A 27969-nucleotide genomic window follows, 5' to 3' on the forward strand; every position below is an offset into this window, starting at 1 on the left:
CGTCCCTCCCACGGCCGAGGCTCCACACCTCCCGGACCGACTCCGGGCCAGGGTCCGCCTGCTCCGGTTCTGGCCCCCGCGGGGGTGACGTTCGGGACGTCGGGGGCTCGCGCAGATCCGCGCTGGATCTCAGGCGGCCCTGGTGGGTCCTGGATTTTTGTCCCCCCCCCATTCCACACCCAAAGAAGGAGCTGCGGGGAGAAGGGCGGCAACGCGGCGGGCGGGCGTGGGCTGGGCCCGGGTCCGCCGGGCGTTGCGGGGGGCGGGGAAGGGGCCTCCCTGTCCCTGGCGTCCTGGACGGCCGTGGCCGCTCATTCCGGGGCCGCCTCCTCCTCCCGGGCGCCCACCGGGTGCCGCTGCCCCAGCGCCCCCGACGCGGCGCCCTCCGCCCCCCGGCCCGGGCCGGTGAACCCCATCCCCGGCGCCCGCCCCCGCCCCGCCGGCGCCTCCGCTCACCTCGCTCGCGCTCGCCTCGGGGGCGCTCCGGGGACCCGCGCCGCGCTCAGGGCGCCCGCTCGGCCGCGCCGTCCATGGGCCCGGCGGGGGCCCGCGCAGCCGGGGCAGGGGCCGGGGGAGCGCGCGGGCCGCGTCGCCGTCGCCGCCGTCGCCGCCGCCAACGCCGCGGGGAGCGCTCGCTCGGGCCGGGGCGCGCGCACTGCGGGCGGGCACGCGCGCTCGCGGCGCGCATCCCAGCCCCGCGGCTCGGCGGGCGCGGCCGGGAGGTTCCGGCGCGGCTCGGGCTCGGGCTCGGGCTCGGGCTCGGGCGTCCGGCGTCCGGCGGGGCGTCGTGGGGGGAGCCGGCTCGGCCGCCGCGCTCGGCCGCGAGTGACAGGCCCGGGGCGGAGGGCGGGGCCGCCGGCGGGGATGAGGTCATGCCGAGCGAAAAAAGCCCCTGACGTCACCTGCAGCCAATCAGCGCGCGCGGCTCGGGGGCAGGTGACGTCAGCGGAGCCCGGGCTCGGGGTGAAGCTGAGGCGGCTGCCGCGGGGGGGGGGCGGGGTGCAGGGTGCGGGTGGGTCGCGCCGCCGCCGCCTTCCGCCCTCACCCCGGGACCGGCTCTTAAAGGGACCACGCGGCGTCCGGGACCCCGCCTCCAGGAAGCCCTCCCGGCCCCGGGCCCCGCGTCACCCAGGCCCCCCGTCACCCGGGCCCCCGGCCGCGTCGCACAGACCCCGGACGGTCCAGCTGAGCGGCTCCGGGCGCGAAGTCCTCCCCCCGACCCGGACAGGCGCCGGCGCCGCTCCCCCCTTCTCCTGGCCTTTGTTGGCGCTGGGCCGCCGCCGGGGAGCCCTCCCCAGACCCAGGCGCGGCGTTTTACCTGCAGCGGCTGTGCTCGCCCCGCCGCGACCCCCGCAGGACGGAGCCGGATCCCCCTGCACTCGGGCGGACCTGGGACCCTCAGAGGCGAGCCGGCTGCCTCGGGTCACACATCCGCGAACTCCGGGGGCGGGCTCCCCAGGACGCCGCCGACCCCCCACGACCCCCAGCCCTCCCGCTTCCGTGGAAAGCCGCCCCGACGACCCCTGTGCGGGCTGTTGAGGGGCCGCACCCCGCCGACCGCTGTGGGAACACCTCCGCGCGTGCGGCGGGGACGCGGCGAGTCCGGGGCAGGAAGAACGCACGGGTAATTGCACCTTCGGCAGGTGTTGGGCGGGAGCAAGGGGGTCAGACTCGCGCTGCAGGGGGAGGGCGGGGGAGGCCTCGCTGTCCTGGAGGAAGGGGACAAAGACCCCTGCCCAGGAGCCTGGGAGCCTTTGAAAGTAATGATTTTTTGGCGGGGGGGGGTTGTCACGAGACACCCTAGACATTTCTAAAAGGCCCCCTCCCCGCTGCCGGGTGGAGAGGGAGCGTGGGGGGATCCGCCTTCTGCCCCCGAGCCCCCAGCCAGCCTGGGCCCCCCAGGGTCACCCTGGGGCTCTGAAGGGGGCTTCGGCCGCTGGTTGAATGAAGGGCCACAGAAAATGAAGCTGGCGCAACGACCGCAGAACCCTCAGTGGGCACCAGGACCACGGAGCTCAGGGTGCCAATGGTGATGGCTGGGGGTGGGGAGTACTGTGGGCAGCAGGGGATGCTGAGCGGGGTTTGGGGCTCCCCCTTTCCATACTCAGTCTTCCTGCCAGCCTCAGAGCTGAGTACACCGTTGGCGATTAATAAGCGCTTGCAGCTCCCTTCCCTGGCCAGCCTGAGGGGAGCGGCAGTGGCCCGTATGGGGTGGGGGTGGCGGTGGAGTGCGTCCTGGCGCAGAGCTGGCACACAGCACAAACAAACGCCTTGGCGGGAGTGGGTCTGTCCCGGAAGGGAGCCCAGGGGTTATTGGGGTTGGGGCTGCGCCCCAAAGCGGGAGGGCCCTGCGAGAAGGGAGGCCCTGGCTGGAGGGGGACCCTGAGACTGGAGGTGCCGGACCCGGATGCGGGGCCAGGTGAGTAGGGCTGCCTGCTGCAGCCTTGCTGGGTTTGAAAAGTGGGGGAGGCTTGGCCCTGGGAGGGGGCAGGAGGATTCAGGCTGAGACCCGGAGGGGGCGAAGGAGGTCCTTGAGGAGGCAGTCACAGGCCTGAAAGGACCTGGGACCCGCAGGCATGGGAGCTGTTAGCCGTTAGATAGAGGGGCTGTCGCCTGGGGGGAAGCCTCACCTGGCTTGTTCCCCCTGCCAGGCCTAGGTGAGCCCGATGGGCGTGTCTTCTGCCCAGCTGGGATGTGGCCAGCATCTGCCTGTGGCCTGGGAGTGCCCATTGTCCCCTAAGAGCTCTGGTTATACCCTGGGCAGCTACTGGCCAGGCTGGAGCAGGTGGCAGGCAGCGACCTTTAGTCCCTCCTGGAGGCTCCCAGGGGGCGGTTTGGAGGGGAATACGGCTCCCCTGGAGGGCCTGGGCTGTCCCTGGGGGGCAGAGTGCCCTGGGCGGCGATTGTTATAATCCCCGTAGCCATTTTCATGCAAATAAGCACTGAGAGCGTTAGGTTCTGCCCCTAACCAGGCTGGCGGACTAGGGAGGTGGCACCCTGGGGAGGACGGTGGTTTTTCTGCAGCCCCGCCTTAGTTCCACGTTGCCTTTGCACCCAGCAGAGGCCGGCCTGGGCGGTGGGCTCAGGGGCCTGGGTGCCCGACCAGGTCGGCTCGGCTCAGCTCAGCTCGGCGGCCGCACCGCCTCCCGGCACAGGTGTGGACGGGGGTGGGAGGCGCGACCAGGGAGGGGGCTGCGGTGTCAGTCCCGGCCCGGGCCTGTAGACGCCGCCTCGGGGGTCTCTGGGGCTCGGGAGGACCTTGCGAGGGGCCGGGGAGGCGCCAAGGCCGCGGCGAGGGACGTGCGGGGGTCCAGCAGCCTGGGGCGGGGACGCGCGCTCCGGGCCGTGCAGGTGGGGGTCCGAGCGGGGCCGGCCCGGCGGTTCGCGCGCGCCCTCTGCCGTCCGCAGGCCGTGGCGCAGGCTCGGCCGCCTGAAGCTCCTCTCGCCTCCGGGAGGACGTCCAAGGTCGTTTCTTAAAGCATCCCTATTGCGCAGAAGGAACAGTGGGGTTCACTTTTCTCGCTAATGTGCATATAATCGTTGCAACTAATTATGTGTAGCAAACCTCCATGCCACTATTTCCCCAACTTTTTTAAGTCAAGGCATAGCTAACTCAATACAATGCCCATCCCAGCTGTTCAAGTAGACTTTTTCTCCCGTTATTTCTTTAAAAACCGTATGATTTTTTCTTGTGGTAAAATGCATGCAGGAACATACGGTGTGCCATATTAACTATTTTTAAGTGAATTTGGCAGCATTAAGTACATTCACTTTCTGTGTAACCGTCACCACCACCCATCTCTGGAGCTTTTCGTCTTGGAAAACTGGAACTCTACTCTGTCCTCATTAGACACCAACTTCCCAACCCCCTCCCCAGCCCTTGGCACCCATTATTCAAGTAGATTTTTTTTTTTTTTTGACGGAGTCTCATTCTTGTCGCCCAGGCTGGAGTGGAGTGGTACGATCTCAGCTCACTGCAACCTCCATCTCCTGGGTTCAAGCGATTCTCCTGCCTCAGCCTCCCAAGTAGCTGGGATTACAGGCGGCCACTACCATGCCCAGCTAATTTTGTGTGTTTAGTAGAGATGGGGTTTCACCATGTTGGCCAGGATGGTCTCGAACTCCTGACCTCAGGTGATCCTCCCGTCTTGGCCTCCCAAAGTGCTGGGATTACAGGCGTGAGCCACTGCACCCAGCCAGTAGATGGGTTTTGACAACTGTATATGTAGTTTTATCACCATCAAAATGAGACCTAGAAACTTTATTATCCCAGAAGTTCCCTGGTGCCCTGTCCTCACCCTCTGACCTGTCACCGTGAGTTACTGCTATCTGTTCGTACACTTTATAAAAATGGAAACAATGGAAACAAACAATGAGAGGACTTTTGCCCCTGGCATCTTTCACTCAAGGAAATACTTTTTTTTTTTTCCAGACAGAGTCTCTTTGTTCCCCCAGGTTGGAGTGGAGTGGCGCGATCTCAGCTCGCTGCAACCTCCGACTCCCGGTTTCAAGCGATTCGCCAGCCTCAGCCTCCTGAGTAGCTGGGATTACAGGCGCCCGCCACCACGCCCATCTAAATTTTGTATTTTTTAGTAGAGATTGGGTTTCACCACGTTGGCCAGGCTCGTCTCGAACTCCTGACCTCAGGTGATCTGCCCACCTTGGCCTCCCAAAGTGCTGGGATTACAGGCGTGAACCACCTTGCTTGGCCTTAAGGAAATACTTTTGAGATTCGTCCACATTGCTGCTTTCCCACAACCTGATGATAACGTCTGTGTGGTTCTGTATTTCATGGGTGTATGGCAAGAGTGGAACCAATTCTTTATTTTTTACATATTAGATTATTTTCATATTTGGGCTATAAAAAACTGCAGCAGGCCGGGCACGGTGGCTCATGCCTGTAATCCCAGCACTTTGGGAGGCCGAGGCGGGTGGATCATGAGGTCAGGAGATCGTGACCATCCTGGCTAATGTGATGAAACTCTGTCTCTACTAAAAATCCAAAAAATTAGCTGGGCGTGGTGGCGGGCGCCTGTAGTCCCAGCTACTTGGGAAGCTGAGGCAGGAGAATTGCTTGAACCCGGGAGGCGGAACTTGCAGTGAGCCGAGATCGCACCACTGCACTCCAGCCTGGGTGACAGAGCGAGACTCCATCTCAAACAAAAAACAAAAAAGAAAACAAACAAAAAAACTGCAGCAGACAGCATCCTATTGTATATGCTTAAAAAAAGAGATATGGGATCCCTCTATTTTATCCAGGCTGGACTGAACTCTTCCTGGGCCCAAGTGATCCTCCTGCTTCAGGCTTCCCGTAGCTGAGATTATAGGCACGTGCCACCACACCCAACTCTTACATGTTTGTAACACACTTCTCAGATTATTTTTCTTTCTTCCCTCTCTCTCTTTCTCCATTTCCTTCATTCCTTCCTTCTGTCCTTCTGTCCTTCCTGTCTTCCTTTTCTTTCTTGACAGGATCTCACTCTGTCACCCAGGCCAGAGGGCACTGGTGGAAATATAGCTCACAGCAGTCTCAACCTCCTGAGCTCAAGGGATCCTCCCATCACAGCCTCCTGAGTAGCTGGCACTACAGGCATGTGCCAGCATCTCCAGCTAATTAAAAAAATTTTTTTTGGCCAGGTGTGGTGGTGCGTGCCTGTAATCCTAGCTACTCGGGAGGCTGAGACACCAGAATCGCTTGAACCCAGGATGCGGAGCTTGCAGTGAGCCAAGATCGTGGCACTGTACTCCAGCCTGGGCAACGGAATGAAACTCCATCTCAGAAAAAAAAAATTTTTTTTGTAGAGATGAAGTCTCACTATGTTACCGAGGCTGGTCGCAAATTCCTGGGCTCAAGCAATCCTCCTCTCTTGGCCTTCAGCCTTCCAAAATGCTGGGATTACAGGATTATTTTCTTTCCTAGTTTTTTTTTTTTTTTTTTTGGATGGCATCTCGCTCTGTTGCCCAGGCTGGAGTACACTGGTGCGATCTCAGCTCACTGCAACCTCCACCTCCTGGGTTCAAGCGATTCTCCTGCCTCAGCCTCCTGAGTAGCTGGGATTACAGGCGCCTGCCATCATGCCCTGCTAATTTTTGTAGTTTTAGTAGAGACAGGGTTTCACCATGTTGGCCAGGCTGGTCTCGAACTCCTGACCTCAGGTGATCTGCCCGCCTCGGTCTCCCAAAGTGCTGGGATGACAGGCGTGAGCCACAGCGCCCCCTGCCCCCAACTCCCATGTCCCCAGATATTGCAAAGTTGCCCTGAGTGGAGAATTCTAATAACTTGCCAGCAGGCTAGAAGAACTCCATTTAAAACCCTTGCCAGGGCTGGGCATGGTGGCTAACACCTGTAATCCCAGCACTTTGGGAGGTTGAGGTGGGCGGATCACCTGAGGTCAGGAGCTTGAGACCAGCGTGGCCAACATGGTGAAACCCCATCTCTACTAAAAAATACAAAAATTAGCCGGGTGTGGTGGTGGGCACCTGTAATCCCAGCTGCTTAGGAGGCTGAAGCAGGAGAATCCCTTGAACCCGGGAGGTGGAGGTTGCGGTGAGCTGTGATTGTGCCATTGCACTCTAGCTTGGGCAACAAGGGCAAAACTCTGTCTCAAAATAAAATAAAATAAAACCCTTGCCAACACTTGGGATTTTATGCATTTTGATTATAGCTGCATTACTTGATGGGTTGACTAGGAGGACACTGGAGTGTCTTCTCACACAGACTCCATATTTAGTTTGAAGACGTCCTTCTATATTGCCTTATAATCTTCCCCAGGGAGGCCTTACAGTCTTCCCATTGCGTATATTACTCCTGAGCTTATGATTTCGGTTGCTTTGTGAAAGGTTATAAAAACCACAATTTCTGATGTGTTGTTGCCTGTCATGGGCTGGCTGTCGATCACCCTCTCTGACTTCTCTTACTCCTCCAAGCAGGCCGCCTGTAGGTTCACTTGGATTTCCCAGGTAGATGGCCCTATCATCTATGAATCTGCACTTTCGTTTCTTTCCAAACCTCACATTGCTTGTTTCTTGTCATATTGCATGGGCTGGCATCACCATTATAATGCTAAGTGGACATGGTGATGGTGGGAGTCTTAGCTTCCATTCCCCAGAAAGTAGCCAGATGCAAAGCTCAGTGTACACATTTTCTGGAAGGGAGGAACACACCGAGCCAGGGAGGAGGTGAAGCTGAGGCAAGGCTGCTTCTTACTCAGCTGCTGTGGCTTTTTGGAAGTTGCAGCTCAGCTGGCCACGTCTGCACACCCTCTCCCACGAGACCATACAGCGATGCTCCACCTCAGAATGGTCCACAGGGAGGAGGAAGGGAGAATAGTTTCTCTGCAAGCTCCTTCCTGTCTTCTGCTCTCATAGGTCAGAGTTGCTCTCCCGAGGAATTAAGTTCCCTGCATCTTCAGGTGGTGTTACTGGCCCCTCTTGGCAGCTGCTGGGCAGGCCAGAGTGTCTGAGGGTTTGGGGAAGCTGGCACATTGTGTGGAGTGAGAGAGAGGTTCATTAAAATTCCCAATTATTCCTATACATTCCCAATTATAGTCCCAATTGTATTTGTGGATTTATCTATTTCTTATTTTAGTTTTGTCAATGTTTGCTTTATATGTTTTAAAGCTCAGTTATTTGGCACATAGAAGTTTAGGATTGTTTTCTGTTTGGTTGCATGAACTCTCCTATCATCATGAAATGTTATCTCTTCTAATAATGGTTTTGTTTCAAAGTCCACATTGTCTGATCTTACTATCATTATACTAGGTTTTTGAAAACATTAATGTTTGCCTAATATATCTTTTTTTTTATTCTTTTGCTTTCTATCTTCCTGGATCTTGATATTTAGGGTTTGTTTTTTCTAAACAACATGCATCTTATTTAACTTCTCTCTGTTTTTTTTTCTTTCCTTTTTTTTTTGAGACAGAGTCTCACTCCGTCACCCAGGCTGGAGTGCAATGGTGCAATCTCGAGTCACTGCAGCCTCTGCCTCCCAGATTCAAGCGATTCTTGTGCCTCAGCCTCCCAAGTAGCTGGAATTATAGGCACGGGCCACCACACCTGGCTAATTTTTTGTACTTTTAGTAGAGACGAGGTTTCACCATGTTGGCCAGGCTGGTCTCAAACTCCTGACCTCAAGTGATCAGCCTGCCTTGGCCTCCCAAAGAGCTGGGATTACAGGCATGAGCCACCGTACCTGGCCTAATTTCTGTCTTCTGTTAGCTTCCGGGTTATGTATTCATTATCCTTTAATGGCTACCTTAGAGATGGTTATATTTATTTATTTATTTTTTTGAGATGGGGTCTCACTCTGTTATCCAAGCTGGAGTGCAGTGGCATAATCATGGCTCACTGCAGACTTGACCTCCCAGGCTCAGGTGATTCTCCCACCTCAGCCTCCTGAGTAGCTAGGACTATAGGCACCTGCCAACACACCCGGCTAATTTGTGTATTTTTGGTAGAGATGGAGTTTTGCCATGTTGCCCAGGCTGGTTTTGAATTCCTGGTCTTGAGCAATCCATCTGCCTTGGCTTCCCGAAGTGCTGGGACTACAGGCGTGAGCTTCTGCACCCATCCAGAGATTATGATAACATATTATCAGTTAATAATCTCGTGTCTTCATAAACAAGGCAAGAACCTTACAACTATTTAATTCTGTTTATCCCTCTCCTGACTTCTGTGCTGTTGTCATATATTTTACTTCCACAAAGTTTAAAAATTTTATAGGACATTGAATATTGTTTTATTTATTTATTTAGAGACGGAGTCTTGCTCTGTTGCCCAGGCTGGAGTGCAATGGTGCAATCTTGGCTCACTACAACCTCTGCCTCCCAGGTTCAAGCAATTCTCTTGTCTCAGCCTCCGAAGTAGCTGGGATTACAGGTGCCCACCACCATGCCCAGCTACTTTTTTTTTTGTTTTTTTTTTGAGATAGAGTCTTGCTCTTGTTGCCCAGGCTGGAGTGCAGTGGTGCGATCTCGGCGCACTGCAACCTCCACATCCCGGGTTCAAGCGATTCTCCTGCTTCACCCTCCTGAGTAGCTGGGACTACAGGCGCATGCCACTACACCCGGCTAATATTTTGTATTTTTAGTTGAGACAGGATTTTACCATGTTGGCCAGGCTGGTCTCGATTTCCTGACCTGTGATCTGCCTGCCTCGGCCTCCCAAAGTGCTGAGATTACAGGCGTGAGCCACTGTGCCCAGCCCTTGGCTACTTTTTATATTTTTAGTACAGACAGGGTTTCATCATGTCGGCCAGTCTGGTCTTGAACTCCTGACCTTGTGATACACTCACCTCGGCCTCGCAAAGTGCTGGGATTACAGGCGTGAGCCACCGTGCCTGGCCCTTGGCTACTTTTTATATTTTTAGTAGAGATGGGGTTTCACCATGTTGGCCAGTCTGGTCTCGAACTCCTGACCTCAGGTGATCCGCCCTCCTCGGCCTCCCAAAGCACTGGGATTACAAGCGTGAGCCACTGTGCCTGGCCCAATCATAGTTATTTTAAAGCCCTTGTTTCCTAACTCCAATATGTGGCTTATCTGTAATCTGCTTCTTCTGTTAGCTTTCCGCATGATTATTGATCACTGTTTCCTGCTGTGTCCTGTATCTCGTGCTTTCTGTCAGAGGTATGCCTCAAAGGACCGTGGGGGTCCATATCTAGGGACCGTGGGGGGTCCATATGTCGGGACCGTGGGGGTGTCTATATCTCGGGACCGTGGGGGTCCATATCTAAGGACCGTGGGGGTCCATATCTTGGGACCATGGGGGGTCTATATGTCAGGACCGTGGGGGTCTATATCTAAGGACCGTGGGGTTCTGTATCTCAGGACCGTGGGGGTCCATATCTAGGGACCGTGGGGGTCCATATCTAGGGACCGTGGGGGGTCCATATGTCGGGACCGTGGGGGTGTCTATATCTCGGGACCGTGGGGGTCCATATCTAAGGACTGTGGGGGTCCATATCTTGGGACCATGGGGGGTCTATATGTCAGGACCGTGGGGGTCTATATCTAAGGACCGTGGGGTTCTGTATCTCAGGACCGTGGGGGTCTGTATCTAGGGACCGTGGGGATCTGTATCTAGGGACCGTGCGGATCTGTATCTAGGGACTGTGGGAGTCTATATCTAAGGACCGTGGGGTCTATATCTAGGGACCGTGGGGGTCCATATCTCAGGACCGTGGGGATCTGTATCTCAGGACCGTGGGGGTCTGTATCTCGGGACCGTGGGAGTCTATATCTAGGGACTGTGGGAGTCTATATCTAAGGACCGTGGCGTCCATATCTAGGGACCATGGGGGTCCATATGTCGGGACCGTGGGGGGTCTATATCTCGGGACCGTGGGGGTCCATATCTAAGGACCATATGTCGGGACCGTGGGGTTCTGTATCTCAGGACCGTGGGGGTCTGTATCTAGGGACCGTAGGGATCTGTGTCTAGGGACCGTGGGGGTCTATATCTAGGGACTGTGGGAGTCTATATCTAAGGACTGTGGCGGTCTGTATCTCGGGACCGTGGGGGTCTATATCTCAGGACCGTGGGGCTCCATATCTCAGGACCATGGGGGTCTGTATCTAAGGACCGTGGAGGTCTATATCTCGGGACCGTGGGGGTCTCCATCTAAGGACTGTGGGGGTCTAGCTGCTCTCTTCCAACAGTGAGCACGTGGCCTCCCTCTCTAGTGCAGACAGGGAGAGGAGCTGAACATTTCGTCTACCCGCTCAGTTAGGGATTGGGCCACTTCAGTCAATCGTCCCTCTGTGTGGCTTTCCTGGAGTTTTGGTTAAGAGCCTGGCCAGTCCGTGTCTTCTTATCCCTGACAGGCTGTCAGAGAGTCACTTCTTTCCCTGAGGTACAGGCTTAGCTCTTTAGTTGTCTGCTCAGGCAGCTTCAAAATTTGGAAAATGTCTTAAGGGCCAGATTAACCTGTGCCTGGGGCAGGACCCCTTCCTCTAGAAAAGCTCTGTGTACTAAGCTCCACAAGGCTATGCGAGACTTCAGCGCACCTGCGGAGGCCTCAGGCCTCACTTCTTAGCCTCCCCAGAAATTTGCAAATGTCCCAGTTTTCTGCTCCAGCCCCTGTGGTTGCCAAGAGCCCTGCTGGGTATTTCTCCCAGTAGAATTCCTCTTCCCCAGTGGGACCGAGGCTCAGCTCATACCCAGCACTGGTTAATTCCTTAAAGGGAGAGAAGCCGACATTCAGCTCATCTTGGAAGGGCTCTCTCTGAATGTTTTCATCTGGTTCTTGTTGCTTCTACAGTTCTCCAATGTCTTTTTTATAGATACATTTTTCCGGTATTTCAAAATTGTGGGCCGGATGCAGTGGCTGACGCCTATAATCCCAGCACTTTGGGAGGGTGAGGCAGGTAGATCACTTGAGGTCAGGAGTTTGAGACCAGCCTGGCCAACATGGTGAAACCCCATCTCTACTAAAAATACAAACAAAACAAAATTAGCTGGGCATGGTGGCTCATGCCTGTAGTCCCAGAAACTCAGGAGGCTGAGGCAGGAGAATAGCTTGAACCCAGGAGGCAGAGGTTGCAGTGAGTGGAGATCACACTACTGCACTCCAGCCTGGGCAACAGAGTGAGACTCCATCTCAGAAAAAAAAAATTGTGGTAAGATACATACGGTAGGATTTCCTGAAGTTATTTATTTATTTATTTATTTATTTATTTATTTATTTATTTTACCATCTGAGTTCTGTAATTAATGTGGCCTTCTCTGGTTGCTGCAATGGGATTGCTGACCTTCCATATACATCCCCTCTGGAATGTCATATTTGCATTCTTCTGGCTTTTTTTGTTTGTTTTTTGTTTTTTTTGAGACGGAATCTTGCTCTGTAGCCCAGGCTGGAGTGCAGTGGCGCGATCTCGGCTCACTGCAGCCTCCGCCTCCCGGGTTCACACCATTCTCCTGCCTCAGTCTCCTGAGTAGCTGGGACTACAGGCGCCTGCCACCATGCCCGGCTAAATTTTTGTATTTTTAGTAGAGAGGGGGGTTTCACCGTGTTAGCCAGGATGGTCTCAATCTCCTGACCTGGTGATCCGCCCCCCTCGGCCTCCCAAAGTGCTGGGATTACAGGCATGAGCCACCGCACCTGGCCGCCGGCATCTTTAATTCAGACTGCCAGCTTCCAGAACCCTGAGAAATACACTTCTGTTGTACATGCCAGTCCATGGTGTTCTGTTACATCAGCCCAAAGAGAATAAGACCGCGTGGTAACAGGCCATGATGACCCCCTAGTGATTGCTTTTGCCTGATCAAGGCAAGGCACCCCCGCCCTGAGCCAGATGCTGAGAGGGTGTGGTAGAGGCTGCACGGCAAGGGGCTGAGCCAGGTGGCTGCTGGTGCTCCTGCCTCTGACCGCCACCATGTATCCAGGATCCCTGCTGGCCAGGGCGCCCACCTGCCTGCTCCGGTTTGGTTCAGGGCCGGTGTGTGTGTGTGTGTGTGTGTGTGTGTGTGTGTGTGTGGTTCCCAGGGGACCCAGTGTAGCCACAGATGCCCCCCACCTGCCTCGAGAGGGAAATAAACATAAATATACCAAGACAGCTATGGGGTGCTGGGGTGAGCGGTTTATTGGATGTTTAAAGGACAGAGATCTGAACTCCTAGTGACTGCAGAGTGAGCAAGCACCCTGGGCTGTCCTGCAGGGCTGTCCGTGCTGGATGTGGTGCCAGCAGGCAGGGCTTGCGGATAGGCATTTGCTGCAGGTGGCTGGGGCGGTGGGGGGCTGGTCTCCAGATGCCTGGAAGGGAGGCCTTGAAAGTCATTCTTCTTGGATGCATGGGCCCATGGCATTTCTTGGTAGAAGGTCAAAGAGAAGTGTTCATGCTTGGCAAGGCAGGAGGGTGGGAGATAGGGTAGTGGGTGGGGAAGGAGAGTCTGGCTCACTGGGTGCCAGGAAAAGGAGGTAAAGGCTGGGCAGGAATGCCTGGCCATGGTAAGAGTCCTGCAAAGCCAGAAATCAGATCTTGCACTGGCAGCACACGGGGACACAGCAACTGGACTGGGAGCAGCAGGGCTTGCAGCAGCTGGATTGGCAACAGGATGACCCACAGCCTGAGGAACAGCAGCAGGGCTTACAGCAACTGCACTGGGAGCAGGATGACCCGCAGCCTCCCTTAGACCCCGCGCAAGAGCCACAACTGGAACAGGAACAGCAACACACGGGCACACCGCAGCCGGAGCCACAGCCCCCACAGCCGGAGCCACAACCCCCCTTGGATCCCCCACAAGAACCGCAGCCCCCCTTGCAGCCTCCACAGGAGCCACAGCCCCCCTTGGAGCCCCCACAAGAACCACAGGCCCCCTTGGAGCACCCACAGGAGCCACAGCCCCCTTTGCCACAGCTGGAGCAGGAACAAGCTGGCACACAGCAGCACATGGGCTTGCAGCAGCAGACAGGCACACAGCAGCTGGAGCCACATCCCCCACAGCCGGAACCACAGCCACCCTTGGATCCCCCACAAGAGCCACAGCCCCCCTTGGAGCCCCCACAGGAGCCACAACCCCCCTTGGATCCCCCACAAGAGCCACAGCCCCCCTTGCAGCCTCCACAGGAGCCACAGCCCCCCTTGGAGCCCCCAGAAGAGCCACAGCCCCCTTTGCCACAGCTGGAGCAGGAACAGGTTGGCACACGGCAGCACACGGGCTTGCAGCAGCAGACGGGCACACAGCAGCTGGAGCCAGAACCTCCACAGCCAGAGCCACAGCCCCCACAGCCGGAGCCACAGCCCCCACAGCCGGAGCCACAGCCCCCACAGCTGGAGCCACAGCCTCCGGAGCAGCCGCAACAGCCCATGGTTCTGGTGGATTGAGGGTGGAGCAGGTAGAGGAGCAGGTGAGAGGGAGGTGCAGGTGTGGAGCTCCCTGAGCCTGGACCCTTTATATCCCTGCCCAGGGTCATGTGTGAGGCTGGGCACACATTTCCTGGTTCCTGTTTGTGCCATTTTTAGGGCCCCTTTTTCTTGTTTCCTCTAGAAATCCGCCCCTTGGTGTATGGGCTGCTCAGTGGGCTGCTGCTCTCTTGCTGAATCTGTGTCCAGACTTAATGGAGGCCCCCAAGGGTCTAGCCTCTCCCTGTTGACTCCAGAGTCACACTGGATTTACAAAAGCATCTATTTTAGGCTGGGCATGGTGGCTCACACCTGTAATCTCAGCACTTTGGGAGGCCTAGGCAGGTGGATCACTTGAGGTGAGGGGTTGGAGACCAGCCTGGCCAAAATGGTGAAATCTCGTGTCTACTAAAAACACAAAAATTAACTGGGTGTGGTGGCTCACATCTGTAATCCCAGCACTTTGGGAGGCCGAGGCAGGTGGATCATTTGAGGTCAGGAGTTGGAGACCAGCCTGCCCAACATGGCAAAACCCCATCTCTACTAAAAATACAAAAATTAGCCAGGCATGGTGGTGCATGCTTGTAACTCCAGCTACTTGGGAGGCTGAGGCAGGAGAATGGCTTGAACCCAGAGGTGAAGGTTGCAGTGAGCAGAGATCACACCACTGCACTCTAGTGTGGGCAACAGAGCGGGACTCTGTCTCAAAAAAAAAAAAAAAGTGATCTATTTTAGTTGAACGATGGTATAAAGAGTAATATATTTAAAAAATGTAAAAAAAAACCCTACTCAACTTGGGAAAAAATGGCATAAATAAATGAAGTCTCTGTTCCTCCATCTCTCCATATTGTTTCTGTCCCACCCTAATAATTTCTTGAATTTGGAATTCACCACTCTCATGAAGGTCCTCACACTCCTACTTAATATGTATGTTCCTTTAAAAATGTTTTGTGGCCAGGCGCGGTGGCTCACACCTGTAATTTCAGCACTTTGGGAGGCTGAGGTGGGCGGATCATTTGAGTCCAGGAGTTTGAGACCAGCCTCACTAACATGGTGAAACCTCGTCTTTACTAAAAATACAAAAATTAACCAGGTATGGTGGCATGTGCCTGTAATCCCAGCTATTCGGGAGGCTGAGGCAGGAGAATCGCTTGAACCTGGGAGGCAGTGGTTGCAGTGAGCTGAAATCACGCCATTGCACTCCAGCCTGGGCAACAGAGTGAGACTCTATCTCAAAAAAAAAAAAAAAAAAAGAAAAGAAAAAAGAAAAAAAAATTTTACATGCTGAAAACTTTATGTAATGGGTATTACACTGTATTTCTCTTTCTGTAAATTGCTTTTGAAAAAAATAGGTGTTAGGCTAAAGAGATTTTCTCTAGGGATACATATGGTTTTAATTTATTTGTTTTCTCTGATTTCTAAATATACATTGACTTATCCATTTACTTGTTGATGGACCTTTTGTTTCCTTTTTGTTGCTATTTCAAGCAAGCTGCAACTTTCTTGCCCAAAACCCCTCCTGCAGGTGTGGGTGCCTGAAAGTCAGGAGGTTCTTGTTACCAAGCTGTCTTCCCAAGGGATCCCCCCAGCCAGCTGCTGTCCAACCAGCATTGCCAGAGAGCTCCTGTTTCCTGGCACCCCCACCAAAACTTGCAACTGTCAACTTACACCCTTCATGTGGGTGTGTAACACAGTGTTACACACTGTGGTTTAATATTCCCTCTTCCTGGTTACTAGCCATGCTGTGCCTCTTTCCATATGGTCACCTGTCATTAGAGTCTCGTTAATTTCACGTCCTTGGCCCACTTTACAAAATTGAGATAGTTATTATTATTAATTTTTGAGATGGAGAGTCTTGCTCTGTCTCCCAGGCTGTAGCGCAATGGTGCGATTTCGGCTCACTGCAACCTCCGCTTTCCATGCTCGAGCAATTCTCCTGCCTCAGCCTCCCGAGTATCTGGGATTACGGGCATGTGCTACCACACCTGGCTAATTTTTGTATTTTTAGTAGAGTCAAGGTTTCACCATGTTGGTCAGGCTGGTCTTGAACTCCTGACCTCAAGTGATCCACCCACCTCGGCCTCCCAGAGTGCTGGGATTACAGGTGTGAGCCACCACACCTGGCCAAGATCATTATTATTTTTATTGGTGTCTGAAGTTCTTTGAATTTTCTGGATTCTTTTATTTTGAGATGGAGTCTTGCTCTGTTGCCAGGCTGGAGTGCAGTGGCATGGTCTCGGCTCACTGCAGCCTCTGACTCCCTGGTTTGAGCAATTCTCCTGCTTCAGTCTCCCCTGGGATTACAGGCACGTGCCACCACACCCAGCTAATTTTTGTATTTTTAGTAGAGACAGGGTTTCACCGTGTTGGCCAGGCTGGTCTCCTGACCTCATGATCCACCTGCCTCAGCCTCCCAAAGTGCTGGGATTACAGGCGAGAGCCACAGCGCCCAGCCTTTTGTTTCTTCTTCTTCTTCTTCTTCTTTTTTTTTTTTTTTTTTTTGAGACAGAGTCTCGCTCTGTTGCGCAGGCTGGAGTGCAGTGGTGTGATCTCGGCTCACTGCAACCTCTGCCTCCGAGTTCAAGCAATTCTCCTGCCTCATCCTCCTGTGTTTCTTCTTAACATAGATGTCATTTATTCTAAGTTTTTCAAATTTATTGGGATGTACTTTTCATAGTTGCCTCTGTTTTTGAAGATGGGATCTTGCTATGTTGTCCAGGCTGGGGTGCAGTGGCCGTTCACAGGCACCATCATAGCTCACTGCAGTCTCGAACTCACGCCTGGCCTCAAGTGGTCCTCAGCCTCTGAAGTAGCTGGGACTACTACAGACTACCACATTTGACTACTACAAATCCCTACCGTGTGCCACCACGCCTGGCTTAGTAGCCTGTTATTTTTAATAGCTGCTAAATTTGTCATTATTTGCTTTCTTTTCTTTCTTTTTTTTTTATGGCAGGGTCTCACTCTGTCACCCAGGCTGGAGTACAGTGGTGTGATCTCGGCTCACCACAACCTCTGCCTCCCGGGTTCAAGTAATTCTCCTGCCTTAGCCTCCCGAGTAGCTGGGATTATAGGCACCTGCTATCATGCCTGGCTAATTTTTGTATTTTTAGTAGAGATAGGGTTTTGCCATGTTGGCCAGCCTGGTCTCGAACTCCTGGCTTCAGGTGATCCACCTGCCTTGGCCTCCCACGGTGCTGGGATTACAGGCGTGAGCCACCGTGCCCAGCCTATTTGCCGTTTTTCATCCCTGCTTCAGGTTATACATGCTCTTTCTCCTGCCCGACCCTTTTTTTCCTCATTGGTTTTGCTAAATATTGTTGATTTTCTTTGTCTTTTGAAAGACCAGCTTTTGATTTTGTTGATTCTGTTTGTTGTATGTGTTAAACATTTTTATTTAGTTCTGCTCATATCTTTATTTTCTCCATTGTTCTTTTTGCACTTTCTAAACATGCGGGTGCTGGGGTGCGTGACTGTCTGCTGGACGTGGACTGTCAGGCCAGGAGGCGTGCGATAGAGAGTCACTGCCATCTGGGCTTTCTATCTGTCCCTCCTTCCTTCCCTCCCTCCCTCCCTCCCTTTTCTGCAGTCATTTTCATTCAGCTTCTTTCAGCCTTTCTGCAAGCTTCTGGGTGAGGTAACTACTGTGGGGCTGCTTTAAAAGCTCCCATATTTTGGGGTCTCTGTTCTTTACCCGATGAGCTAAGCCTGTGGGGTTTGCTGTGATTTCTGACATACGTGGGCTGCTTCCCACCACCCTTTGCATTTCACCATCCTGTGGTAGTGCTTCCTTCCCCTCTTCTTTTAGATGGAGTTTTTAAGGTTCTGTTTTTGTTTTTATTTTGTTTTGCTTTGACTGACTTAGAAGTTATATACACTATTCCTGTTTTTAGCAGCAACCTTATGCATTTCATGTGTATTTTTAAACAAATGTTGTCTACACGTGATGGCCCTCTATTCCTCCCCTGCTGAGAGTTGTGCAGGGAGCTGGGGACAGCTTCTTCCCCTGCCCAGCCCCTCCGGTGTCAGCTGTGGGAGTTTCTCCAGCGTCTTAGCTCCTCTCACATTGCTCATCATTGTTTATTTATAGTCAGTATTTGCTTAAACTTGCCACACATCCACCAACAACTCTAGGCGTGGTTCTTGCTTACACCATACTTCTTCCTTCCGGGCTCAGCTTCCTTCTTCCTGAAAACATCCTCCGGAAGTTCCCTCACAAGCATTCATCAGTAGACAGTCTGCATTTTTACATGGAGGTGGCTTGTTTCCTGCTCCTCCTGAGCATTCATCAGTAGACAGCCTGCATTTTCACATGGAGGTGGCTTGTTTCCTGCTCCTCCCGAGCATTCATCAGTAGACAGCCTGCATTTTCACATGGAGGTGGCTTGTTTCCTGCTCCTCCCGAGCATTCATCAGTAGACAGCCTGCATTTTCACATGGAGGTGGCTTGTTTCCTGCTCCTCCCGAGCATTCATCAGTAGACAGCCTGCATTTTCACATGGAGGTGGCTTGTTTCCTGCTCCTCCCGAGCATTCATCAGTAGACAGCCTGCATTTTCACATGGAGGTGGCTTGTTTCCTGCTCCTGGGCTCAAGCCATCCTTTCTCCTCAGCCTCCCCAGCAGCTGGGATGACAAAGGCACACCATCACACTCAGCTAATTTTAATTTCTGTGTAGAGATGGGGTCTCTCTAAGTTGCCCAAGCTGGTCTAGAGTTCCTTGGCTCAAGCAACCCTCCCACCTTGGCCTCCCAAAGTGCTGGGATTACAGACGTGAGCCACTATGCCTGGCCTGCCCTCACTTTTGAATAATGCTTTGGTTGGCACAAAATTCCTCAGTGCTTGAAAGGTGTCACTGGCGGCTGTTTCGTCTGTTGCTGCTGTCACTTTCTCTGCCCCTCCGCTGGAGTCCCCAGCCTTCTGAGTCTGCTGTGGAAGCTGGAGTCTCTGGCCTTCTGTGTCCGCTGTGAAAGCTGGAGTCCTGGTCTTCCGTGTCTACTGTGGAAGCTGGAGCTGCCTGGCCTTCTGTGTCTGCTGTGCAGGCTGGAGTCCCTGGCCTTCCATGTCTGCTGTGGAAGCTGGCTTGCACATTTGGTTCTCCCACCTGCTTCATGCCATGTCCTTCCTGGACCGAGGGTTCCAGTTTCAACCTTGGGAGACTCTCCCTGTCTCACCTCTCCCGAGTCTCTCTCATCTCTAGTTGGACAAATGTCAAATCTACTACATGTCCCCATATGTCTTTTTTTTTTTTTTTTTTTTTAAGACAGAGCCCTGTTCTGTTGCCTAGGCTGGAGTGCAGTGGCAAGATCTTGGTTCACTGCAACCTCCAACTCCCGGAGTCAAGTGATTCTTCTACCTCAACCTCCCAAGTAGCTGGGATTACAGGCGCCTGTCACCATGCCCAGCTATTTTATTTTATTTTATTTTTTGTATTTTTAGTAGAGAAGGGGTTTCACCATGCTGGCCAGGCTGGTCTCAAACTCCTGACCTCATGATCCGCCTGCCTTGGCTGCCCAAAGTGCTGGGATTACAGGCGTGAACCACTGCGCCTGGCCCCCATGTGTCTTTTTTAAAAAAAGAAAACCGTTTTATTGAGATAAATGTGCATATACAGTTTGTCTATTTAAAAGTCCACAATCTGGCCAGGCGTGGTGGCTCACACCTGTAATCCCTGCACTTTGGGTGGCTAAGGTGGGTGGATCACCTGAGGCCAGGAGTTCAAGACCAGCCTGGCCAACATGATGAAACTCTGTCTCTACTAAAAATACAAAAATTAGCTGGGTGTGGTGGTGCATGCCTGTAATCCCAGCTACTTGGGAGGCTGAGGCAGGAGAATGGCTTGAACCCAGGAGCGGAGGTTGCAGTGAGCTGAGATCTTGCCACTACACTCCAACTTGGGCAACAGAGTGAGACTCCATCTCAAAAAAATAAATAAATAAAAGAAGACCGTCATAAGTGGAGAAATATATCATGTTCATGGGTGGAAAGTCTTAACATTATAAAAAGTTCAGTTTCTTATATTCATACATTCAATGGATTTTATTCAATTAAAATTCCAGAAGGATTTAATTCTGAAAATTATTCCATAGATCTAAAATTTATGTGCAAACTTGTGAATAACTGAGACACTCCTGAATAATATTCAGAAGGGGTAGTCTCTGCCTGATATTAAGGCATAATAAAGTCTTCGTTGTTAAAACAGTTTGCTACTAGCACATGAATGGATAAATAGTTAGAAGTACAGAACAGGAACCCAGAAAAGACCCATCTATTGCAGAGCTTTAATTTTTTTTTTTTTTTTTTTTGAGATAGAGTTTCACTCTTATTGCCCAGGCTGGAGTGCAATGGCACGATCTTGGCTCACCACAACCTCCACCTCCCGGGTACAAGCAATTCTCCTGCTTTAGCCTCCCGAGTAGCTGGGATTACAGGCATGCACCACCACACTGGCTAATTTTGTATTTTAGTAGAGACGGGGTGTCTCCGTGTTGGTCAAGCTGGTCTCGAACTCCTGACCTCAGGTGGTCCACCTGCCTCAGCCTCCCAAAGTGCTGGGATTACAGGCGTGAGCCACCGTGCCCAGCCAGAGGAGCTTTAATCTTTAACAAATTGAATGGGGAAGATGGCTCACTCTATGCAGAGAATTAAAATTAGATGCCTACCTCACACCCTCTATAATCCACATGGATTGAAGACCTAAAAGGATATGTAAAAGTGAAAGGAAAATATAAAAAGAGTGGAAGATAATATAGGAGATTGTGTTTATTATCTTGGGGTCAGGAAATGAATTCTTAAATATGATCCCCAGAACATAAACAGTAATTAGGAAAATGCTGTATTTAACCACATCAAAATTACTGATATATGTCTGGATATCACCCCACAAAAAAACCATTAAAAGATGATTGGGGCCAAGTGTGGTGGGTCACCCCTGTAATCCCAGCACTTTGGGAGGCCGAGGTGGGCAGATCACCTGATGTCAGGCGTTCGAGACCAGCCTGACCAACGTGGTAAAACCCCATCTATACTAAAAATACAAAATTAGCCAGGTGTGGTAGTGCATGCCTGTAATCCCAGCTACTCGGGATGCTGAGGCAGGAGAATTGCTTAAACCTGGGAGGTGGAGGTTGCAGTGAGCCGAGATTGCACCATTGCACTCCCGCCTGGGCAGCAAGGTGAAACTCCGTCTCAAAAAAAAAGAAGATTGATCAACTGGGAGAAGATATTTGCCATTTGCCATATTTATAACCCCTAGAAGCTAATGTCTAGACAGGAACCCTGAAAATCAACAGAAGAGGGCAGGAGACCTAGTGGAGAAGTGGGCAAAGCATAGGAATAGACCACCCACAGATGGCTAGTGAGGACGCGAAAAGACCTTCAACCTTATTTTTAATCAGAGTTAAGCAATGAAAACAAAACGCCCCTGGTTTTTGAAGAGAATGGAAACACCTGCAGTCTTACTGATATGTTACATTTAGCGCGTGGTATTTAGTGAGAGGCGTGAGCAGCTATGTGCTTACCTGCAGCATACAGCGGGAGTCGTTACGTGACTTCTGCCTTTCAAGCACATACAGTGTAATGGGATCCATCCATCACACAAATATACTAGCTCTGTACACAGCCTTGAGGAGGAGCAATATTTTTGGTTGTTATAAACTGCATTTTTTTTTTTTGGTATGGCCTTTTGATTCTGGGAAGCACATTCATTCTATGGCTATTGCCTTTTTAGATCATGAAAGCATCATTCCATATTGATGAAGAAGATGTAGATATGGCACTGATCAACACCTCAGTCGCCTTCCTTCCAAAACAGATACTTCTCAAGAAATCTGGGGCCGGGTGTAGTGGCTCACGCCTGTAATTCCAGCACTTTGGGAGGCCAAGGTGGGCAGATCACAAGGTCAGGAGATGGAGACCATCCTGGTTAACACAGTGAAAACCCATCTCTACTAAAAATACAAAAAATTATCCGGGCGTGGTGGCGGGTGCCTGTAGTCCCAGCTACTCAGGAGGCTGAGGCAGGAGAATGGCGTGAACTCAGGAGGCAGAGCTTGCAGTGAGCTGAGATCGTGCCACTGCACTCCAACCTGGGCGACAGAATGAGACTGTATCTCAAAAAAAAAAGGAAAAGAAATCTGTTCTCCCAGGCTCCCCATTTCAGCATCCCACTCATTGATCATTGAAAACTCATTCACTAGGTTCACCACTCCTGGGTGTTATGCTGAGCAATGAGGATATTCATCATGGTGGATTATATGGCAGCAAAGAGCTCAAAAAAGGGTGATGGATGTGGGAAATGGGGGGCAGGAATCTAGTGGAACACACTTCAGTGGCCAGAAATAATGCATTGTATTTTCATGTAGCAATACATGCCAAAAGCACCAGATTTGCTTAAAACGCAAGAAACAGAACAGAATTTATAACCATCATGAATTTAAATAACATACACAAGGCTGGACACAGTGGCTCACGTCTGTAATCCCAGCACTTTGGGAGGGCCAGGCAGGTGGATTACTTGAGTCCAGGAGTTCGAGACCAGCCTGGGCAACGTGGTGAAACCCTATCTCTACAAAAAATACAAAAATTAGCCAGGTGTGGAGGTGCGACTGTAGTCCCAGCTACTTGGGAGGCTGAGGCAGGAGGATCGTTTGAGCCCGGGATGTGGAGGTTGCAGTGAGCTGAGATTGCACCGTTGCACTCTATCTCCAGCTTGGGTGACAGAGCAAGACCTGTCTCAAAAACAAAACCAAAACCAAATACATACACATTGAAAAATGCTACATATTTGTCATGATTATATGCAAATGTTTGTAAATAACTTATGGAAGATGAATTGGAAAGATACCTGCAAGGATGGATGCCTATGGGTGGAGAGGATGATGGGACTTGGGATAATGAAGGAGAAAAAAGTTAAATAAAAACAATGTCTATATAGGATTCATTAGCTGAGGATTGTGATCTATAAAATTCTCAGCACATATATGATGCATGCATATATATATATATGTATATATATATTTTTTGAGATGGAGTCTCACTCTGGTTGCCCAGGCTGGAGTGCAGTGGCGTGATCTTGGCTCACTGCAACCTCTGCCTCCTGGGTTCAAGCGATTCTTCTCCCTCAGCCTCCTGAGTAGCTGGGATTACAGGCGTGCCCCACCATGCCCAGCTATTTTTTTTGTTAGTTTTAGTAGAGATTGGGTTTCACCACGTTGGTCAGGCTGGTCTCAAACTTCCGACCTCAGGTGATCTGTGCGCCTCAGACTCCCAAAGTGCTGGGATTACAGGTGTGAGCCACTGCACCCAGCCAGGCCTTTGTTTTTATTTTGCCTACTATTAGTATAGCTTGCTTTGCATGTTATGTCTTTTTCTACCCCCCCTTCTTTTTTTTTTTTTACATTTTTGAATCCTTATGTTTTAGATGCAACTTTTGACTTTACATCTAGTTATACATTTTTTAAGAAAACTTGTCTAGCAATCTTTATATGTAAACTAGAGCATTTTGTCCATTTACTTGTGAAATAATTACTGAAATATTTGGGTTTAAAACCTATGTTCTTAGTCTGAATTTTCTATTGCATCACCTGATCTATATTTCTTTTTCTCTTCTGTTCTTTTTGATTAGTGCTTTTTTATTCTAGTTTTTTATGTAATTGTTTGACTGTCATACATGACTTTGGTTAGGAGTCTTGGATCTTCTTTGCTTCTTTTCAATTTTTGTCATTGTCTCTTGAATCCTTTTTAGTTCTTCATTTCTTTTTGGTTTTTAAAATTTATTGTACTTTTTTACTCATACGTTTGTCCCACTTTAGACTTTATTTCTAGAGTGATTTCTTTTAACTCTAATTTTCTCTTAAGTGATGTCCCCTCATTTAGCAATTCTTCTATTTATGACTTTTGTTGTTCATTTATGTCTCTTTTTTTGAGATGGGGTTTCACTCTGTTGCCCAGGCTGGAGTGCAGTGGCAGGATCATAGCTCACTGCAGCCTCAACCTCCTAGGCTCAAGCAATCCTCCCGCCTCAACTTCCCTAGCAGCTGGGATTAAAGACACACACCACCATACCCACTTAGTTTTTAAAATGTTTTGTAGAGGTGGGGGTCTCACTATGTTGCCCAGGCTGGTTTTGAACTCCTGGCCTCAAGTGATCCTCCTGCCTCACCTCCCAAAGTGCTGGGATTACAGGTGTGAGCCACCGCGCCCGGCCTTATTTATGTCTGGTATCATTTCCTTTCATTGTTCATTAGCTCCTTTGGAAACAGTAGGCTACCACTGTGATCTGTTTCACGGCAGGCTTCCTAGCTTTCTTCCATTGCCTCTAGGGACTTACCGAGGGCCCTTGCACCCACTCACCACTAGAGGGAGGAAAACCTTCCCCATTTCAGGAGCCAAATCCAAAATTCATGCTGCGCTTTTCCAGCACACACCTGTTGGCTCTTTTGAGGTTCCCCTGTTTTCGTCTCTGTTAGATGTTTCTTCGCTTTCTCCTGCACAGACACTGAAACCCTGGGGGACTGTGGCTCTTGGAAATTTATCCCCACCTTCTTGTACTTTTAGGTTCACCTGCTTTTTCTTAAGACACCATCTCACTTTATATTGCCCAGGCTGGAGTTCAGTGGTGCGATCACAGCTCACTGCAGCCTCAGACTCCTAGGCTCAAGCCATCCTCCTGCCTCAGTCTCCCAAGTAGCTGGGGCTGCAGGTTTGCGCTACCATGCCTGGCTTACCTGGTTTTGTTATAAGTCTCCAGCATGCATTTTTGGTTTTGTTACCGAGTTGCTCGGTGTCCTGTGGGCTGTGGGAATGTACAGGGCCCAAATGTAATGAACTCTGCGTTCATGTCTGCTGCCACCTTCTGGAGTTTCCCAGTTTGGATTTTTGAGTAAACTGTCTTAAGCAGCATTTCCTTTTAACGTCGTGAAACTAACGATAGCCATGTCCCCTAGCAAGATGCACCTTTGACACACTTTTATTCCCTCTCCTAAAAGTGGCTGAATTAATCTAAGCCTTTATTTCTAGATTATTTCATTTTTCCTTACATTGCATCTCTTTTCTCTCAGAAATTTGTCCTGGAAATTCCCACTCTGCTCTTCCCTGGCATTATCAGCAGTCGCTTAGATCTGTGGGTGTTCTGTGGGAGCTCATTTCTCACCAGCGCTCCCTGTGTGCTCTCTTCCCTCCACCTTTTCCCTCCAGGTTCGCTTGTCTGGAGATCATCCTCAGATCACTCTCGTCCCCTCCTCCCCAGTGCGTGATTTCTAAAGCCTTGCCTGTGACACTGGTCAGAGAACAGGCTCAGCGTGGTGGCACGTCACCATGAAACAGATGGACTTGGCTCAGGGTCCCCAAATGTGTCATTTCCCAGGAACTCCCCTTTCCTGCCGGGAGACTGAGCTCCGAGGACACCTTGGGCCATTCTGTAACTTCCTGGTTACCTTTAGTTATGGAAAGCCGTTGACCTCATGATTGTAAAAGGCTAATTGAGTGTTTGAATCAGACCGCGCTGGAGCTCAGCGGTGCTTCACTCCTCCCTCCTCCGACCTTGCCCTGCCTGGGGTCCTTCCGAGGCCCCAGAGGAGAGCGGGAAGCTGGAAGCCATGGGTCTTGTGCAAGGCCCTGCTTGGCTGGTCGTCAGGACTCAGGGCCCGCCTGCCCCTCTGCGCCTCTAGGGCGGGCATTGAATGCCGAATCCTCCCCGGGCTGAGCCCTCTTCTCCTGCAAGCAGAGACTGTGAAGATATTTGAGGCCGAGAGGAGGACAGAAGGGAATGGCAGGCTTTTTTGTGAATGTACCAGGCCTGCTGGCAGGCGTTTCCCAGCTTAGCTGACAGATCAGAACACAGAATCGGTCACCGCACAGGAAAGGGGTTGGACAGAATTGCACCAAGTATACAGTTGATTTACAGACATGAGAGGCTTTATTGCAAGGAAATTCATTCATTATTTTGTTATTTTTTTTTAAACAGATGGAGACAACAGGAAGGAAAGAGACCTTCCTGGTCACACTTGGGCCACAGGAGAACAGGCAGCGGCCCAGGAGGATCCAGGGTCCTGATGGTGGTTGAGAAGCTGGTTCTTAGTGATCACTCAGAAACGTCGGCCTGGCCTTGTGGGGTCAGACCTTGCATCTCAGTCAGCCCAGGGAGAAGAAGAAGATGGTCCACACCCAAGTGCAGGGAACATCGTGGCAGTCGGCTGGGTGCCTGCGTCCAGGCGAGGACACCTCCCGCATCAGGGAAACACACGTTTCTGGAGTGAGGAGGCTGAAGGCAGGGCCCAGAGGAGAGCTGAGCCATGGAAGGAGGTGTGTGCATGGATGGTGAGCTAGAGCAGGTGCAGGTGCCTCAGGGAGGATGTGTGGGACGAACTGACTCAGGGAACCATAAGAAATGCTTTCACCAAACAGGAGAAACCTGAAGGTCTGGGTCCAGAGCCTCAGATCTTACACTGGCAGCACACAGGGACACAACAGTTGGACTGGCAGCAACAGGGCTTGCAGCAGCTGGACTGGCAGCACACGGGGACACAGCAGCTGGACTGGCAGCAGCAGGGCTTGCAGCAGCTGGACTGGCAGCAGGATGATCCACAGCCTGAGGAGCAGCAACAGGGCTTACAACAGCTGGACTGGGAGCAGCCACAAGAACCACAGCCCCCCTTGGAACCCCCACAGGAGCCACAGCCCCCCTTGGAGCCCCCACAGGAGCCACAGCCCCCCTTGGAGCCCCCACAGGAGCCACAGCTGGTGCAGGAACAGGCTGGCACCCAGGAGCACACGGGCTTGCAGCAGCAGACAGGCACATAACATCTGGAGCCACATCCCCCACAGCTGGAGCTGCAGCCCCCACAGCCAGAGCCACAGCCCCCACGGCCGGAGCCACAGCCCCCACAGCCAGAGCCACAACCCCCACAGCTGGAGCCACAGCCCCCACAGCCGGAGCCACAGCCTCTGGAGCAGCCACAGCAGCCCATGGTTCTGGTGGATTGAGGGTGGAGCAGGTAGAGGAGCAGGTGAGAGGGAGGTGCAGGTGTGGAGCTCCCTGAGCCTGGGCTCTTTATATACCTGTCCAGATGTCAGGCATGACACAGGGTCCCTTTCTTGTGACTGTTTACACTATTTTTCCAGAGCTCTATTTTTTTCCTCTTTGCTAGTGACTTCCTTCTGGCTCAGTTGAGCATCTACTTTCTTTGTTTTCTAAATTTGTCTTTTTCCCCATTTGTTTTGGCCCCTACAATTAAAACCTCAGCTCCAGGCTGTCTGGTTCTTCCTGCAAAGCTCCAGGGTGCTGGTCACCTGCTCTCTGCTGACCACATGTGACCAATGGGCAACAGCCTCTGCCCACGTGCTCTCATCTTTCCTGTGTTGACTCCCTCAATAATATTAATTTTACATTTTTAGATTTCAAAATTATCCACGATCTTTATACTCATGCCAGTCTCAGCTTTCCGGGTGTGTTAGACCATTCTTTGCATTGCTCTAAAGAAATACTTGAGGCTGGGTAATTTATAAAGGAAAGAGGTTAGAATGGCTCATGGTTCTGCAGGCTGCACAAGCATGGCACCCACCTCTGCTCAGCTTCTGGGGAGGCCCTCAGGGAGTTTTCCTCACGGTGGAAGGCGAAGCAGGAACAGGCACACCACATGGTGAGAGTGGGAGCAAGGGGTGAGGAGGAGCCACACACTTGTGAACAACCAGATCTGAGTGAACACACTCATCGCCAAGGGGGTGGCACTAAGTCACTCATGAGGGATCCACCCCCATGACCCAGACACCTCCCTGCAGGCCCCTCCTTCAACACTGGCCAACAACTATATGAAAAAATGCTCCACATCACTAACTATTCGGGGAATGTAAATCGAAACCACCACGAGATACCATCTCATATCAGTCAGAATGGCTTTTGATAAAAAGTAAAAAACAAAACAAAACAAAAAAACCTAAAATCAGATGCTGGCAAAGCTTGAGAGAGAAGGGAACACTTGTACACTGTCGGTGGGAATGTAAATGAATTCAGCCACCACGGAGAGCAGTTTGGAGATTTCTCAAAGAGCTAAGAATTGAACTACTATTTGACCCAGCAATCTCATGATTGGGTATATACCCAAAGGAAAATAAATCAATCTACCAAAAAGAC

General features: G+C 51.7%; 3 protein-coding genes and 1 long non-coding RNA gene across 6 annotated transcripts in view, besides 4 other annotated features; 1 reads left to right on the plus strand and 3 right to left on the minus strand.

Annotated features, from left to right (window-relative positions):
* Positions 1 to 428: part of an enhancer, noted in NCBI's record as "H3K27ac-H3K4me1 hESC enhancer chr11:1592555-1593102 (GRCh37/hg19 assembly coordinates)", that runs on past the window's edge. NCBI's record gives its function as "activates a minimal SCP1, AML or CMV promoter by ChIP-STARR-seq in naive H9 embryonic stem cells {active_cell/tissue: H9 hESC(naive)}" and the evidence as "EXISTENCE:reporter gene assay evidence [ECO:0000049][PMID:30033119]".
* Positions 1 to 1404, minus strand: part of DUSP8 (dual specificity phosphatase 8) — an 18798-nt gene extending 17394 nt beyond the window's left edge. For 2 of the 3 annotated variants that reach the window (XM_047426513.1, NM_004420.3), the window contains exon 1: positions 457 to 827. The gene's annotated coding sequence lies outside the window, so the exon portion shown is untranslated. Of the gene's footprint in view, positions 1 to 456; positions 828 to 1318 lie in introns of those variants that run through there. The other variant, XM_011519933.3, reaches the window with a different exon arrangement.
* Positions 977 to 1522: an enhancer, noted in NCBI's record as "H3K27ac-H3K4me1 hESC enhancer chr11:1593651-1594196 (GRCh37/hg19 assembly coordinates)". NCBI's record gives its function as "activates a minimal SCP1, AML or CMV promoter by ChIP-STARR-seq in primed H9 embryonic stem cells {active_cell/tissue: H9 hESC(primed)}" and the evidence as "EXISTENCE:reporter gene assay evidence [ECO:0000049][PMID:30033119]".
* On the plus strand, positions 1297 to 27740 carry KRTAP5-AS1 (KRTAP5-1/KRTAP5-2 antisense RNA 1). Its single transcript, NR_021489.2, has 2 exons — positions 1297 to 1624; positions 25804 to 27740. It is a non-coding gene; the product is annotated as a KRTAP5-1/KRTAP5-2 antisense RNA 1 (long non-coding RNA).
* On the minus strand, positions 12898 to 13839 carry KRTAP5-1 (keratin associated protein 5-1). Its single transcript, NM_001005922.1, has one exon. The coding sequence runs from the start codon at positions 13803 to 13805 to the stop codon at positions 12969 to 12971; it is 837 nt and encodes a 278-aa protein (NP_001005922.1). The 5' UTR covers positions 13806 to 13839; the 3' UTR covers positions 12898 to 12968.
* Positions 24905 to 25478: an enhancer, noted in NCBI's record as "H3K27ac-H3K4me1 hESC enhancer chr11:1617579-1618152 (GRCh37/hg19 assembly coordinates)". NCBI's record gives its function as "activates a minimal SCP1, AML or CMV promoter by ChIP-STARR-seq in naive and primed H9 embryonic stem cells {active_cell/tissue: H9 hESC(naive and primed)}" and the evidence as "EXISTENCE:reporter gene assay evidence [ECO:0000049][PMID:30033119]".
* KRTAP5-2 (keratin associated protein 5-2) lies at positions 25733 to 26850 on the minus strand. Its single transcript, NM_001004325.2, has one exon. The coding sequence runs from the start codon at positions 26804 to 26806 to the stop codon at positions 26273 to 26275; it is 534 nt and encodes a 177-aa protein (NP_001004325.1). The 5' UTR covers positions 26807 to 26850; the 3' UTR covers positions 25733 to 26272.
* Positions 26053 to 26626: an enhancer, noted in NCBI's record as "H3K27ac-H3K4me1 hESC enhancer chr11:1618727-1619300 (GRCh37/hg19 assembly coordinates)". NCBI's record gives its function as "activates a minimal SCP1, AML or CMV promoter by ChIP-STARR-seq in primed H9 embryonic stem cells {active_cell/tissue: H9 hESC(primed)}" and the evidence as "EXISTENCE:reporter gene assay evidence [ECO:0000049][PMID:30033119]".
* Positions 27741 to 27969: the final 229 nt, after the last annotated feature.

This window comes from Homo sapiens, chromosome 11 (genome assembly GCF_000001405.40).
Source record: "Homo sapiens chromosome 11, GRCh38.p14 Primary Assembly".
NCBI classification, from domain to species: Eukaryota; Metazoa; Chordata; class Mammalia; order Primates; family Hominidae; genus Homo; species Homo sapiens.